The sequence below is a fragment of the Homo sapiens genome, chromosome 9 (assembly GCF_000001405.40).
Source record: "Homo sapiens chromosome 9, GRCh38.p14 Primary Assembly".
Classification (NCBI taxonomy): Eukaryota; Metazoa; Chordata; class Mammalia; order Primates; family Hominidae; genus Homo; species Homo sapiens.
In genome coordinates, this window is record NC_000009.12 from 135,096,740 (window position 1) to 135,111,482 (window position 14,743).

At 54.5% G+C, this 14,743-nt stretch overlaps 1 protein-coding gene across 4 annotated transcripts in view, besides 6 other annotated features; it reads left to right on the forward strand.

Annotated features, from left to right (window-relative positions):
* The window catches only part of OLFM1 (olfactomedin 1), a 45,680-nt gene that overhangs the window by 21,235 nt on the left and 9,702 nt on the right, over positions 1–14,743 (forward strand). For 3 of the 4 annotated variants that reach the window (NM_014279.7, NM_001282612.1, NM_001282611.2), the window contains exons 4-5: positions 1,547–1,766; positions 10,010–10,116. In NM_014279.7, the coding sequence (NP_055094.2) occupies positions 1,547–1,766; positions 10,010–10,116 (327 nt within the window). Of the gene's footprint in view, positions 1–1,041; positions 1,366–1,546; positions 1,767–10,009; positions 10,117–14,743 lie in introns of those variants that run through there. The other variant, NM_006334.6, reaches the window with a different exon arrangement.
* Positions 1,390–1,891: an enhancer, noted in NCBI's record as "H3K4me1 hESC enhancer chr9:137989975-137990476 (GRCh37/hg19 assembly coordinates)". NCBI's record gives its function as "activates a minimal SCP1, AML or CMV promoter by ChIP-STARR-seq in naive H9 embryonic stem cells {active_cell/tissue: H9 hESC(naive)}" and the evidence as "EXISTENCE:reporter gene assay evidence [ECO:0000049][PMID:30033119]".
* Positions 8,658–9,182: an enhancer, noted in NCBI's record as "H3K4me1 hESC enhancer chr9:137997243-137997767 (GRCh37/hg19 assembly coordinates)". NCBI's record gives its function as "activates a minimal SCP1, AML or CMV promoter by ChIP-STARR-seq in primed H9 embryonic stem cells {active_cell/tissue: H9 hESC(primed)}" and the evidence as "EXISTENCE:reporter gene assay evidence [ECO:0000049][PMID:30033119]".
* Positions 9,183–9,708: an enhancer, noted in NCBI's record as "H3K4me1 hESC enhancer chr9:137997768-137998293 (GRCh37/hg19 assembly coordinates)". NCBI's record gives its function as "activates a minimal SCP1, AML or CMV promoter by ChIP-STARR-seq in primed H9 embryonic stem cells {active_cell/tissue: H9 hESC(primed)}" and the evidence as "EXISTENCE:reporter gene assay evidence [ECO:0000049][PMID:30033119]".
* Positions 10,234–10,759: an enhancer, noted in NCBI's record as "H3K4me1 hESC enhancer chr9:137998819-137999344 (GRCh37/hg19 assembly coordinates)". NCBI's record gives its function as "activates a minimal SCP1, AML or CMV promoter by ChIP-STARR-seq in primed H9 embryonic stem cells {active_cell/tissue: H9 hESC(primed)}" and the evidence as "EXISTENCE:reporter gene assay evidence [ECO:0000049][PMID:30033119]".
* Positions 11,496–12,057: an enhancer, noted in NCBI's record as "H3K4me1 hESC enhancer chr9:138000081-138000642 (GRCh37/hg19 assembly coordinates)". NCBI's record gives its function as "activates a minimal SCP1, AML or CMV promoter by ChIP-STARR-seq in primed H9 embryonic stem cells {active_cell/tissue: H9 hESC(primed)}" and the evidence as "EXISTENCE:reporter gene assay evidence [ECO:0000049][PMID:30033119]".
* Positions 12,058–12,617: an enhancer, noted in NCBI's record as "H3K4me1 hESC enhancer chr9:138000643-138001202 (GRCh37/hg19 assembly coordinates)". NCBI's record gives its function as "activates a minimal SCP1, AML or CMV promoter by ChIP-STARR-seq in primed H9 embryonic stem cells {active_cell/tissue: H9 hESC(primed)}" and the evidence as "EXISTENCE:reporter gene assay evidence [ECO:0000049][PMID:30033119]".

Genomic DNA, 14,743 nt, shown 5'->3' on the forward strand with positions numbered 1-14,743 from the left:
AGCAGGAATCTCTCAGGGCAGTTTTCACATCTGACCTAATCTAGCCATGACAAAGCATACCATAGACTTGCAGGGAAAAAAGAGAGAGATGCCAGCCTCCTTTCCACCTCGTGGGAAGTGTTCTGCTTCTCCGGGTAACTCTGGACATTAAAACTGGTGTTTGTTTGACCTAAAATCATAGATACAGATGTGCAGCCAGGTAGAGAGATGCCCACAGTTGACTCCATCTCAGTGCGATTCGACTGAAACGTTATATGCCGCCTTAATGAAGGTATACATGCATTTTAATTAGAAATCCAGCCCAGATGTAAATGAACAGGTCAAATTACACAGCCTCGCCCGACTAGAAACTGCTGGTGTACTCTGTCTCTGTCTTCCCGTCCTTTTTATGCTAATGTTTTTCTTCGATGTGCTCCCTGCATGAGGCAAGAACTAATTCTCTTTTAAAAATGATACATTAAATAGATGAAATGGCAAGCTAATGAAATTATAAATCTATATTATAAATAAAATAATAGCAGGCCCAATCCTGTTGAGGTGAAATGAGCCGATTGTGCTCATCAGAGGCAGTTGGACATTTTTGTCCTCGCATCTGGCTGGTCATCATGAATTACTCTGGAGGGAGAGATGTTGACCTGTCTAACCAAAAAAGCATTTATGTCTCTGAGCCAGCACTCCCTTCTCTGCGGCCAGCAGACTCCTCTAACGAGGGGGGTGTCTTCAGCAACTGGGAGGTAGCTCATCTTGGCAAACGTTGTTGACACAGGCATCTCTCCGAGTTTCCAATTTTGGGGTGCTGTGGCTCTGGGGGAAGAAAAGCAAGCGCTTGCCTATACTGTGCTAAACCGCATTAAAAAAATTCCAACAGAAATTGTGACGAGGGAATCTCAATAACTCTTAAAGCAGTTTGTTTTGACTAACTCGAGCATTACAGTGGGATTTTTCTAACTGACCATGCAAATATGTGTTTCCTGATGGCTGTCTGTTTCAGGCAGGCTAGTGAGCTAGTTCTTCAACGGTATTTCATTTTCTTACTTGCAGGGCTAACTTAAAAGAGTTTTTTCAATGCTGCAGTGACTGAAGAAGCAGTCCACTCCCATGTAACCATGAAAGAGAGCCAGAGAGCTTTTTGCACCATGCATTTTTACTATTATTTTCCAATACTTAGCACCATTTCACTAAGGAACCTTGAATACAACCAGGATCCTCCTTTGCATGCGACTGTAGCTGCATTTCATGAATAGTTTGAACCCTTGTCAATGCATTTTTTGAAAAAGAAAGAAAAAAAAAACTTCGTGTATGTGACTCAAAGCATGTAACCTTAAGATGTTGCATTCTAAACTGACAATAAAGACCTTTCCCAAATATGCTGGTGTTCTGAGGACTGTTTAATATGCTCTTCTAACTCATTTGGACCAGAACAAATAAGCCTGTAAATAAAGCGGGAATATACACACTTTCCCTCACCTAGGGAGAAGCCAGGCCAAGGCAGGGTGTGAGAGTTCTTGCATGCATCGCACTGAACCAGCTTATTTTAACCTTGCAGGCGATAAAAGCGAAAATGGATGAACTTAGGCCTTTGATACCTGTGTTGGAAGAGTACAAGGCCGATGCCAAATTGGTATTGCAGTTTAAAGAGGAGGTCCAGAATCTGACGTCAGTGCTTAACGAGCTGCAAGAGGAAATTGGCGCCTATGACTACGATGAACTTCAGAGCAGAGTGTCCAATCTTGAAGAAAGGCTCCGTGCATGCATGCAAAAACTAGGTAGGCCCAGTACCCTGCGGGACGTGGCGCTGCACTGCCCACCTCCGGCACACGCACAGGCTTAGGGAGTGGTGCTGAAGTGGACAGCGCCCGCCTGGCTTCGCGAGGTGATGGCTGGATTAGGGCTCCTGGGCAGGTCTACCTTGAGAGACAGCAAAGGAGGAGCGTAGGCCACACCCATCCTAGGGCATTGTTCAGAGCCGGGTCTTGTGCAGAGGCCACAGACCCCGCTGAGTCGCACATCTGGAAAAAAATAGCATACCATCTGGCAGATTGTGTGTGTGTGTGTGAATCGTATGTGTGTGTGCATTGAAGACACCAGTTTAATAGGGCTGGCAATAACATCTCAGATTCCTCCGGATTGAGAACGGGGGCTGGTGGAGCTCCTGAAATATTGAATCATGCATAGTTTGAATAAAAAAGGGAACAAAATTCAATCACATCTCAGTAGAGCTGCCATTCACAGCACGGGAGGGAGCCCCTGCTCACAGCCTGGAAGGGGAGGAGCCTCTGAGCAAATGAACCCCTTCCTCGGGTGTGTTTCCTAAGAAAGACCCCCAGTGTGGGGTGACCCATTTGGATTCTTATTTCTGATTGATTACCCATTCACCTTATCAACTTTCCAGTTAATTACTAGGAGAAATATTAACACATTAGTGTCTGAGTCTGCTTTTAAATAGCACATTTCAAATCCCAATTCCACTTTTAATTTTTCTTAAGAAATATTAGCCATCCGTCCTCACCAAGCTGTTTTTGTTTTTTGTTTTTTGTTTAATAACACAAAGGTTGTTGTTTTCATACTACCTACTTTTTAGGGTAACTTAGGGTAATTTTAGGGTGATTTTGCCTTATGAAGTTTATCTCAGGCTTTCTCTGATGTTCTAACTGGATTACCTTTTTATTTCTACTCTCCCTTCCACACACACACACTCCAAGTGCCTTACTATAAACCTAAAACATCCAAAAAGAACACTTTAAAAAAAAACCTCTAATGTTAGTCAGGTGAAGAGAGAGAATATTCAAGGGGAAAGAAAAGAGTCAGCCAAACCCTTGGTTTCCCAGGTTCCCAATTTAGGTGATTTTTAAACGCTCTTCTAGGTGTCCTCAGTGAACGCACAAAGCTTTAAATTCCCCAGTCCCGAAACAGAGACAATAAGAAATGCTTGGAGTCAGAGAACTAATCCATTTTGATGTGTGCATGCTGGCTGTGTCTCACGGGGGCTGCTAACTGCATTCTTTCAGCTCTGTGCTCCATGGTGCCCAGCCCTGGTATGACAGTGGCTGGGTGATCTCAGACAGTCCCAGGAGGGGGGTCTGGGCCAGATGGCCTCTACCATGGCTTCCCAATTTGACTTTCTAGGAGTTGGTGTGAGTGTTTGACTTTCTAGGAGTTGGTGTGAATGTTAATGATGATAGGGCTGTATTAACGATCATGGGGCTATATAACTATTGCCCTTGGGTACTGTCTTCGGCTTGCTACCCATCGTGACCTTGAGTGACCTCACCATTGCCCCTCTCTCCAGGACCTCCAAACACTCCCACTTATGGGGTCTCCCTCGGCCTCCGAAGAATCCAGTGGTGGGGTCTTTTTGTTGTTGTTATGTATTTCCCCATGAGCAGTGTCTTCCCTCCCTGGAATAGACAGGGCACATCATGGAGAAACCCAGAGAAAACCTCCACATTTTCCAATCAAGGAATCAAGGGAGCAAAGTGAGGATTTGGAGTAAAAAGTTGCAAATAGTGAGAAGCCAAGGGCCTTTCTGAGGGGGCACCACCCCTCCCGGATGAGCTGGCCTTCCCATCTGTGCTTGGCCTATTTTTAGTAGCTGGGTGAGTTTACCTTGCAGCTTAAAATCTTGGGTCTTGTGAAAGAGATCACATGGCCGTCCTTGGGCTGCTAACACCATTGATTTGGGAGTAAAGAGAGAGGGTTAACAGGCCTCCAGAGGCCCTCTTTCTCCCACCTTTGGAGTGCAGCTGCCTGGTTTCACCTCTGCGTTTAATTCTTTCTTTGGAAGGGCTGCGACACGTAGGCGGAGCTGCTGAATCAGAGCGTCTGCAGGTGGGGCCCTGGCATCTGCCCGTAGCCAGCACCCAGCTAATCTTGACACACAGCAAACTGAGCTCCCCCGTTAGAGGAGGCAGTTTTGTAAGGTAGTAAATGCCACTCGATAGCTGTGCGACTCCCCCAAGGCATTTCCCCTCTCGAGTTTCAGCTGCCTCCTCCTCTGTAAAATGGTGCAGGGAGTCCCTGAGCTCTGGGGTAATTCATGGAATGGTAATTCATGGAAGTCCTTCAGATCCTGAGCTCAGCACTGTGCCCAGCAGAGGAGGTGCTGGTAGGCAGGTAGGTCGATGGATAGAGAGGTGATGACAGCTGACTGATAACTGGATAGGTAGTTAGATAGATAAATGATTGATTGATTGATTGATTGATTGATAGATGATTGACACATAGATAGAGTTAGCAGCTGCTGACCTTCCTCCTCCCTCTTCCCAGGCTTTCATTCAAGCTCAGTAACTTAAGCACCAAATTAATATCCTGCAGCTGCTTAATTTAGCTTCATTTTAGCCTTGCAAATAGGTACCCATCTCAGGACCACCCTGGCAGCCTGTTCCCTTGCTGGGAGGTTGCTGAGGAGCCCGGCCTTCTGCAAGGTGGAGCCGGCACCCGCTGCCGGCCGTCCTGGGTGGTGAGGGCTTCTGTGAGACGTGGCCTCCAGTAGTGGGCAGTTTCCTCCCCTGTCCCGGACCCCGCAGTTTCTTGGTGTGCCTGCTGTTCCTGCTGGTGTGAAGTGTGACTGCAGGTTCCATGGTCTAGTGAACAGGGTCCGGGTTCCCTTCCTGCAGTAAGCCTGGAGGAGAGGCTCTCCCAAAGTCTTCCTGATAGTTCTCTCCTTGCTGCTACCTTCTTCAAGTCACTGTTGCTGACAAGCCCAGAACATACTCAGAAACAGAGAAAACAAGGACCAGGGCTCCATCAGTTTTCAGTTTCCAATTCTGAAGATCCCTCTTTTGATGGCATTATATGATTTTCCTAATGGCCCAGCCAGAAACTTGAATCTGAACCTCTCCTCTCGGGCATCCTCTGGAAAGGAGGCAGTTTGCCGGTTCCCCTGGAGCAAGTCTTGTTGCCAGGCAAGGGGAGAGTCAGTGCTGCCCCGTGCCCCTGGCCTCGTCCCCTGAGCTGGGCGTGGGGCCCTCTCTCCAGGGGAGCCTGCAGAGTCAGATGCCCCAGCAGCAAAGCTGAGCGAAGCCAGAAGCGTGAGGGTCAGTGCACGATGCTGCTCTACCCATGGAGCTCCCGGGGCGTGGCATGTGCCTGTCAGCTTCAGGCCTCCGTGGTCCTCTCTATAAATGAGGGGTGAGGGGGCCAGCTGATTTGAAGGGCTCCTCCCAGATATACCATCCTGGCACTCTGGTGCTAAAGGCTTCCTTAGTTTCTTTTTTTTCCCAAAGCCTGGGAAGCCCCCAGACACCCATAAGCACAGACAGAGCCTGGGCTTCAGGGTCAGTCGGGTCTTTTTGTTTCACTGGAACGCGTCTTAACAAAGCCCGCTGGCTCCAGCTTCAGAGTCCCCTGTCAGCCGCTGGGAGCTGGGCCTGCCTGGGTATCTAGGTTGATGCAAGTCCAGTTGCAGGCCCCCGTCCCAGCTCGGGATGGCAGGGCATAGTGCTTGGCTCTGGCACCATGCCCTACACTCTGTCCTGGGGGAGACAAACCTGAAGCCTCCCTCTTGTTCCCTGACCCTGAGATGTGAGAAAGGGTCAGCCAGGCAGAGAGAGGGTCTGTCTTCTCCTGCCCCCGGCCCTGAGTGGAGCTAGACAGTGAGCCACTGTCACCAGCACACATGGTGCGTTCAAGGATAGAGAGTTAAGCCCTTGCCAGTGGATTCTGAAGGAAAACCCACTAGAGTGACAGGGGAGGAAATAAACCAAAATCTAAAAAGCCGCTCAGAAGCACTGACTGAGTGGGGCCCGGGCGGCCAGGGCTTCTCCCAGGAAGTTCTCCAGATGACAGGCGGTGAGAGTCTCCTGGAGGCCCGCCCTTCCTGCCATGCGAGGAAGAGGGTCTGCCGTGACCCTTTCCTCAGTGGCCGCCCCAGCCCAGGCCCTGGGTCTGATCTCGAGGCCTGGCGGGGATGCAGCATGGTTCTCAGCTTCTTTCATCTGCATTTTGGACATCGGTTTGTCCAAGTTCCCAGCTTTGCAGACTTCTTCCAGCTTAAGTCTTCCCGGATTGCAGGAGGTAAAAGCTGTGACCAAGGGAGATAGGCTCAGAGGACAGGCAGCAGGACAGGAACCCCATCTGCCTGCTTCAGGGCACTCAGCCCTCCTGGTCTGTCTCCTTTGTTGCCCAGAGACCCCTCTGTCTCTGGCCTGAGGTCCTCAGTGGGCATCTCCCCGGGCCTGTTCTATGAGATCGTCCATGCTGCTGCGTAGAAGTGGCCTCCTCTTGTGAATAGCAAGAGGCAGATTGTCTCATCCGCAGGGGCATCAGCTTGTCCAGGCTCCCGGCCTTGCACAGCGCTCTGCCCTCTGAGCCCGTCTGGGGCCGTCGGGGGGCCTCTGCCCCTCCAGCTGAGCATGCTGGCCCTCCAAGCCCAGGCCTTCCTAGGAGAGAGAGCCCGTTTGGGCCATTTCCTGAGCCTCCAACAGTGCAGGAAGCCCGGCCAGCCCTCTCCTGCCTCTCCCCTCCTCTTCCCTCCTTGTGTGTGCATCCTGAGTGCTCGTGACTGGAGAGGGACGCTTTCCTGAACTGCATGTGCCAAGATTCCACTGAGGCTCTGCCATGGGCTTTTTTGGATCCTGTCAGTTCCTGAGGTCTTGGCAGAAGCAGTCTGGATGGAGAACCAAAAATAACTCCCTGACTCAAGGAGGGCAGGTGGCCTCCAGCCCCAAGGGCCCTGGGAGCTGTGCCTACAGCCAGCAGTTGGAAGATCAGGGTGCAGAGCCAGCCTCACCCTTCCCTGCCCTTGCTAAGCCAGGATTTTAAGGCTCATTTCAAGGGGTCACTTTTGCATTTAAAAGAGGGAGCTGGAGAGGGTGATGCTCAGCTCTGAGCCAGTGGGGCCCATGCAGGAGGGAAGAGGGAGCCCTTGGCCCACGGCAGGGTGGGCCTGGGGCAGAGCCGCCCTCTGGAGAGCAGAACTGCAAGGTCCAGGGTGGGCGGGATGAAGTGGGAGGGGTGAAGACCACGTCCACTTGGGCTCGCCTTTTCTGCACATCCTCAGGCTGAATCCCCAGTGATGCCTCCTGACCTCTGTGGAGCTCTGACTCTGTGGCAGGTGCTGTCCCAAAAGCTCTCTGGTGGTCCCTGCCCTAATTCTCACAGCAGCCTTCCGAGGGGGCACTGTTGTTATTAGCCCATCTATAGAGAAGGAGAGGGAGTACACAGCAGCCCCCAGGGAAGAGGGTCACCCTCCCTCCTTCACTGAGACAGAGAGTGAAGCCTTCGACTTGGGAGGCTTTTCTGAGCAATGAGTCATTCGTTCATTCATTAATTCATTCCATACAAATCCCCAGGCTGAGTTTTGGAGGAAACAGGGTGAGTGCAGGAAGCTTCTTCCCTGGGGCAGTAAGACCCAGACATTCCTTGGCAGCCCCATGAGATGTACGGTGGGAAGCTGGCTCCGGCTGCAGTGAGGACAGGCAGACCAGGCAAAGTGAAGGAAGGGCACGTCTTTAGGGCAGAGGTGTCAGTTTGGGGCAAGCCAGTGAAGGTGGGTGGGAAGGTGGGGCTGGGGCCGGCACACCAGGTGGAGGGACAGCTGGAGCAAAGCTGCGTGAACCAGCAGGGCGGGGCTCTGGCCAGGCGGCGGAGAGGAGCCCAGCACTGACTTGCTGCCTCTGGCCTCTGCCGGCTGCCTGCAAGGTGGAGGGCAGACACCTGGTCTCCTTCCGGTAGGTCATGCGACCGGGATGAGTCTGCTGCGGGTGTGGTTCCGGGCGTTAGTGTGGGCCAGCGTCACGGAAGGCCCGGCGTGTTGACTGAGGAGGCTGAAGTGGCCAGAGCCCGTGTGCGCTGCTGGATGGAAACCCAGCATGGGGCCGCCACTCCTCTAGGCTTCTCCTTCCGGACAACTAACAGAACCACGGCGTGGAAAGTCCTCACGGGATGTTCACAGGGCCAAGGCACTGTCTTAGGGGACACCAGCCTCTGGATGGCAGGGAGGGCTGGAGAGGGGCTGTGAAGGGCTTCTCCCAGCGCCCACCCAGTGCAGAGGGAGCTGCTGTCTCCCCCGAAGCCCAGGGCCCCCCAGCAGCCGGAGGGTGAGCCCAGCCATGGCTCCTCCCTCCCACCTCCTGCCTCCTGCTCCTCCAGGGCCTTAGTGAAGCCGCCCTGAGCTCCACCTCTCCGCCAGCGAGTTGCACTGGGGTGAAAATCTGGGCCGGGCTCTCCTGGAAGAGGAGTCTCTTGTGAGACTTCTCAGACCCCCCACATCTTCTTACTTCTCGTCCCCATAGACGCCGGTCAGCTGTGGCCATCTCCTCTCCATCCCTTTCTTCTGCTGCTTCTCCTCCCACAGATGGGGAGCATGGCCTGGCCCAGAGCCCGTGTGGACCACGGCCGAGAAGACCCTGGCAGCCTCTCACCCGGCCCCACTGCCAGGAAGCCTCCAGCCATGAGGGGACAATATTTACTTGGGAAAGCACATAATTCCTCCTGAAAGTAGGAATGGGGAACTACGCACGGAGGAGGAAGGGAGGGAAGGGCTGTGACATTTCTTCTTCCAATCGGGGCAGAGGCGGCAGCCCGGGAGCCAGGTTGCCGGGGCCTTGGAGCAATGCAGCCCGACTCGATGGGAATTTGGGGGCAAACCCAGTCTTTTTCTGTGGGCAGTGGGCTCCTCGTCCCTCTGAAAGCCCTGGTGCCCGGATGCACGCTCTCCCACCAACCCACAGAATCGGAGACGCCTCCATGCCGGCAGGGCCGGGAGCGTTCCTCTTTCTGGTCTTGTGTGATGCCAGTAACAGGCCACTTCCAGTTGGGAGAGAGTGGGAGGCACCCTGAGACCCGCGCTGAGCATGGGAGTGGCCAGGCCGCGTCCTCCCGGGGGCCAGCCTGGAGCCTGCCCCACCCTGCTTGCCGACAGGATTATCCTGGCTGAGCCGAGGTCCGGGCGCACTCACCCGCAGTCTTCCCCCACACGTGGATGGCCTCTGAACTCGTGTGCTCGTGCAAGCCCACCGAGGGTGCCACGCAGACCTAGGAGGTCACAGGCGGGCTTGGCCGGGAGGGACAGGGCAGGGTGCGGGGACTTGTGGTGGAGGGGCCCTTCCTCTACCCTCCCCAGGAAAGCCACCCACTTCCCATCCAGGGTCCCTGTTAGAATCAGGAGCGTTTGGCCCTTCAGAGGGCGGCCGAGGCTCGTGCATTCTGGAAGAGCTGCGTGGCTGCGCAGACACACCGGCCTCCGGGCAGGAGGAGTTCTGTTCCTGTGCAGTGGGTGTGGAAGCCGCCCTGAGCCCTCGGGGGTGTGGGGGGCTCCAGCCTCAGTCCAAATCACCGGGTGGCCCGGGTGTGTCCCTCCTCACCTCCATGGTCCTCTGTGAGACGGGAGGGCTGCTGAGATCACATCCAGGATCCCATCCGCCCTGGTGCGCTCCAGCTTGGGCTCCTCCCACTGGCAGAAGCAACCGGCTCACGCCTGTGGGAGAAGCGCGCAGGCTCTTCCTGCGGGAAGGCAGCTGTGGCCTTTGTCCCGGGTCAGTTCCGGGGCGGCTGGTGGTGCTGCTGCTCCATCGTGGGACAGGGCCTGCCTGGATGCAGTGTCTCACACTGGGCCTGACTGTGCCCCACGCGGGCTGGGCTGTCAGGGCATGACCTCTAATGCCCTTGGGGGTGGAGCCGCTGCGTTCCCATCTCCAAGAGAAGAAAATTGAGTCTTGGCAAAGCTGACCCCCTCTCCTAGAGGTGCTGCTCCAGCACCCCCATCCCCAGGCCATGGGTCCAGCAGGCTGAGGAGGCGTGAAGCCTGGGAGGGCGGCCGTCTGCCCACGGCTCTTCCCTGCTATCCTGGCCACAGCTGCTCTGTTTTGGGGAGGAGGTGGCTTTTCCGAGAGTGGGGGAGTTGTCTGTGAAAACAAGGGCGTGAGCAGCTTTCCACAGTACCCCAGACCCCGAGGGCAAGAGGAGAAGCCGCCACATGGCACGTGTGCTCTGGGCAGTCGAGGTCAGGGTCATCACCGCGGGCCGGGGCCCCCGCCCTCCCTCTCCTGACCTGCGTGCTCTTTTCCAGCTTGCGGGAAGTTGACGGGCATCAGTGACCCCGTGACTGTCAAGACCTCCGGCTCGAGGTTCGGATCCTGGATGACAGACCCTCTCGCCCCTGAAGGCGATAACCGGGTGAGTGTCCCCTTATGTCATAGGGGGTCATTTGGGCAAGGGCGCTCTCGGACACCTGGTGGGCCCCAGACATGGGTACAAGCCACGCCCACCCTCCAGGGCCTATGGACTGGGCAGCTTGGTGCCTGGGGGCGTTTGTTCCTGGAAGACTTTCGGGAGGGACCCAGGCCTCTATGCTAATCCAGAGCTGTAGATCATGGGCCAGGGAGTGACATGAGGTTGATGGTATCCCATGACATGGCTGTAGACCCCTTCAAGGCCTCCTCCCCGGCCCGGTGGGCTGGGCTGGGCTGGGCTGGGCTGGGCTGGGCTGGGCTGGTGCCCCAAGTCCATTTCTCTGGAGCCGAAACCCAGCCCTGACTTTTCCGGTCCTTGCATCTGCTTCAGGAAGAGAATTCATTAGGCCTTTCTTGTTTTAATGACATCTCATTTGTATTTCATTTGCCATTCCTTTCATGGCTGATGGAGACTCATGTTCCTTTTGATTTAGGAAAGAGGCCATGTTCTTTTTTCCCAGGCTTTTCCCCGCTGGGTGAAACCTCAGAAGAGGAGAGAGAAACAGGCATCATATTTGCCTTTATCTGGGGGGCTGGGTTTTATGTTCGAGCCCCTTTGAAAAATGGGGAGGTGAGGGTGGCTGCCCGACTGATGGTGAGGCCCGGCCTCGCTCGGCCCCTGGGCCCCAGACCCCTGTATACAGGCAGCATGGGCTTGTAGACTCCCTCCAAAGTGAGCACCCTCTGAAGGCTCTCGATGGGGGAGGGAAGCTGTCAGGGCTTCGCTGTCCCTTGATTTGCAAACTGACCTCTGGCTGCCAGAGTGGGCATTTCTCACCCAGCAACCCCTTCCTTCAGGGGTTTGCAGGACACTTAGAAAATAAACACTTAAAAACAAACAACCCAGCTCTGCCCTGGGCCGACTGAGAAAGGCCCTTTGAAATGTGAGATCCTCTAAGCTTTATCTGGAGCGGGTTTGAAGGAAGGGATGGACCCAGCTCTCTCCCCTCTGATTTCTGATCTCTTTGCCTCCCTCCTTCACCATTGCCACCATTTCCACGAAATCTCTTATATTTAAAACATGGGCGGTACGGCCTCTGGCACACTCCTTCCTTCCAGGAAGATGGCTGGGGAGGGGAGGGGGACTGGCAGACTTGCTAGAGCCTGTTGCATGTGTCTTGATCCCCCAGCCTCGCATGGGAGTGGCCCCCGCCCCCATCTGGAAGGGCTGGCCAGACTGCAGAGCCGGGATACAATTGGTGTTGGGTGTTTGTCAGGGAGGTTTTTCTGTCCTGTTTTCTAAATTGTGACAGCTGAGGCTTGGAAGTTTTCTAACAATTTAATTAGCTGTGAAGACTCTGACCACTCTTTTATTCCACATCCCACCTGGAAAACCCCACTTATGTTCAGAGTTAGGAACTTGCTCCTGCCACAGATGTTTTTGTAATGATCATAATACAGAAGAAAACAAGGTGATGCTGGCAGGCACTTAGAAAGCAGGCCCGGGCACAGTGGCTCACACCTGTAATCCCAGCACTTTGGGAGGCTGAGGCGGGCGGATCACCTGAAGTCAGGAGTTTGAGACCATCCTGGCCAACAAGGTGAAACCCCATCTCTCTAAAAATGCAAAAATTAGCCAGGCGTGGTGGCGTGCACCTGTAATCCCAGCGACTCCGGAGGCTGAGGCATAAGAATCGCTTGAACCTGGGAGGCAGAGGTTGCAGTGAGCCGAGATCATGCTACTGCACTCCAGCCTGGGTGATAGAGCGAGGCTCTGTCTCAAAAAAAAAAAAACAAAAAAAACAGCGAGTGTGTCCTGTGTGCAGGTGCTGTCCAAAGCACTTTCTTTTCATGCATTAACTCCCTTAATAGCGGGGGAAGGACGGGGCCTTCATGCAGCCATCTGCGTGCCCTTCCTGCTTTGTCCTCCCTGGGACCTGCCTGCGTCGGGGTCATTGGCATCTCAGTGTGGATGACAAGACTGTTCTCACGCCCAGAGGCAGAAGGGTCTCAGGATCATGGAGTGCCTGTCTGCAGCATGCACTGACACTCCAAGCCGAGTCCCTTATACCACCCTCCCCCTACAAGTGCCCTTCCCACACCTCCCCGCAATCTGGCCCACCCCACTATGCAGAGCAGGAAAACCACCCCACAAACCCACGCTGACCACATTGAGATCTGTGAGCAGGAAGCAGTCACCTCCCTGCTGCAGAGGGCAACCCCAGGGCTGGACTGCTCTGTCTGTATCTAACACCCCCCAGGACTGGACTGCTTTGTCTGTACCTTACACCCCCCAGGGCTGGACTGCTCTGTCTGTATCTAACGCCACACGTGTGTGCCTCTTGACTTCTGTTTTTGTATCACCTTCCTTTGTCGTAGGGAGCACTAGTCAAGTTATCGTTTTTCTAGGTACCAAGGATCTGGGGCTCCTGGAAGCCCCGGCTGTTTGCTTTGCACAGCGCAGCGAGGGTGTGGGTTTGCAAAGCTGTCGCGGTGCTGATGGATGCTTTTGATCATTAGGCATCTATTTTCTGCTTGATGACTGGATCGCCCTCCAGGAAAAGAGGCTCTGATGGTGGGTAGAGTGTGGGGAGAAGAAGCCGCAGGAGAAGGGATCCCTGGCAAGGGGGTGGGGGAGATGGGTGCTGGGGCTGGCAGAGGAGCCACCCGGAGCCTGCTCAGAGCACCCTCGGCTACGGCCATTCCAAGCCATACGCTCAGCACAGCCTCCAACTCCCAGTGTGCTAAGTGACATGTCCCCAGGTCCTGTCATTGATCTAGGCCAGCCGTGGTTTGTTTGTTTTGATCTTTTCCAATCTCCCATTCAGTTTTGATCACACACACAGGAGCCCAATAACTCGCTCCAAAAAAAAAAGAAAAAGAAATCAATGTCGGCTTCAGTGCAGGCTGCCACGGAGGGCATTGTAAGGCAGGTGTGGCCAAGGGCAGAGGGGAGAGGTTCAATGGGGCTGCCTAGTAGAGAGCCCGGCTCAGGGGGACCTGCAGAATCTCTGTGTTCGTGTGACCACAGGAGGGACGGTCCTGAGCCAGCTTCAGGGCCTTGCTAAGCTGTCAGAACAAGGTTAGCTTGGGACGCCTTTGCAGCAGGTCTTTCTGGATTCATTTATTAAGCACTGACTGTATGTCCGGCCTGTGCTGAGCACTGAGAGCCCCCAAGTTCTTCTCAGCAGGAAGCCACCCCTGCGCTTCCCAGGGCACCGGGCCCCACAGCCCCTCCTTTCCTTCCCGCCCGTCCCATTGCCTCAGTGTTGGAGGAGGGAAGGGCTGTGTGGAGGTTGGCCAGCTCTCAACCTGATGCGTGAATGCCCTGCCAGGCTGTGTTCCCACCCACTGGGAGACCACATGAGTTCTGGGACCCCTTCCCCAGCTCGGAGGCTTCTGGCCTGCTCTGACCATGGCCTGCCTTCCAGAGCCCAACATCTGCCTCCTCCTTTCTGACCCGCTTCCTATAAAAGTCTCAGGTCAGCTCACATCAGACACCAGACACCAAAAAGGGGGCCAGCGCTACTCCCACCACCCCAGGAAGTTCATGTTTGAAGGGGTGATATAATTAGGAAAACACTGTCATTTACAAACAGCAGCAAGCTTAGCTTAGCGTTTCAAAGTCCTTTCCCATCATCTAAACAGCGTCAAGGCCATCTAGATATTTTATAAGGATCCCACGGAATCTTTTTTTCCAGAAGGTGGAAATATCCAAAATGCATAAAACCGTGTGGGTGCAGGCAGTGATCCGCCCGCCGCCAGTGGTGCAATAAACATCAACGCCCCTTCCAGTCACTTCTCAGTGTGAGGAGGGACCTTCCCAGGACCGAGAACCGTTGTCTGTTCCCCTTCAGCCTTCACTCCCCAAGTGGAGCCTCCGGCAGAAACTGCCAGCATCCCCCCCACCTCTTTCCCACCACCCATTCAGCTACGGGCCGCTTTAGAGTGTCTTTTCCAGCGGCCCAGGCTCCTTGATGTTAGGAATTCTGTCAGGACGACATGTGACAGATGCTTGCCAAACCAAAGGGAAGTGCCAGCGCGGGCCCAAGTCCCTACGCCAAGACCCCTTAAATAGCATCCGCTTCCCACTTCCCGGGGGCTGCATCAGAGGCATTTGGGACGGCAGTGCCAGATCTGTGCCCATCGTCCAGCTCTACCCTGAACCGAGAGGCCCTCTTCACTGGGAAGCTGATGAAAGTAATCGGGACAGTTAGGAAAATCCCACGTTCTCAGTAAACTGCACCACATGTGGCTGAAATGCGGTGCAGAGGTTCAGACAGCCAGTTTTTCTTATATGGGAAGCTGTGTTGGGCCTCGGTTTCGGAGAAGCCTGGTCCCCTGAAAGCATGGTATTTACAAATGCATTTTGTGTTTGCGTGAGAAGGAAGAACCCACCCGTTGCTTTATCTTTTCCGGCAAAGAAACCCTCATGGGTTGGGGAGGGGATTTGGGCAGGAACTTGGGGCCTTCCAGCCTGTGTCGTCGAATTAGAGTGAGGCTGTGCTCGGGGCAGGGTGGCCTCGCTCGCCGTCTGGCCGCAGGCTCTCAGGGACTGTAGCGCATGGCCCATTGAACTGGAGAAGGATGATCAGTGTGCGAGACCTCCACGACCCCCAGGAGGCCTGAGT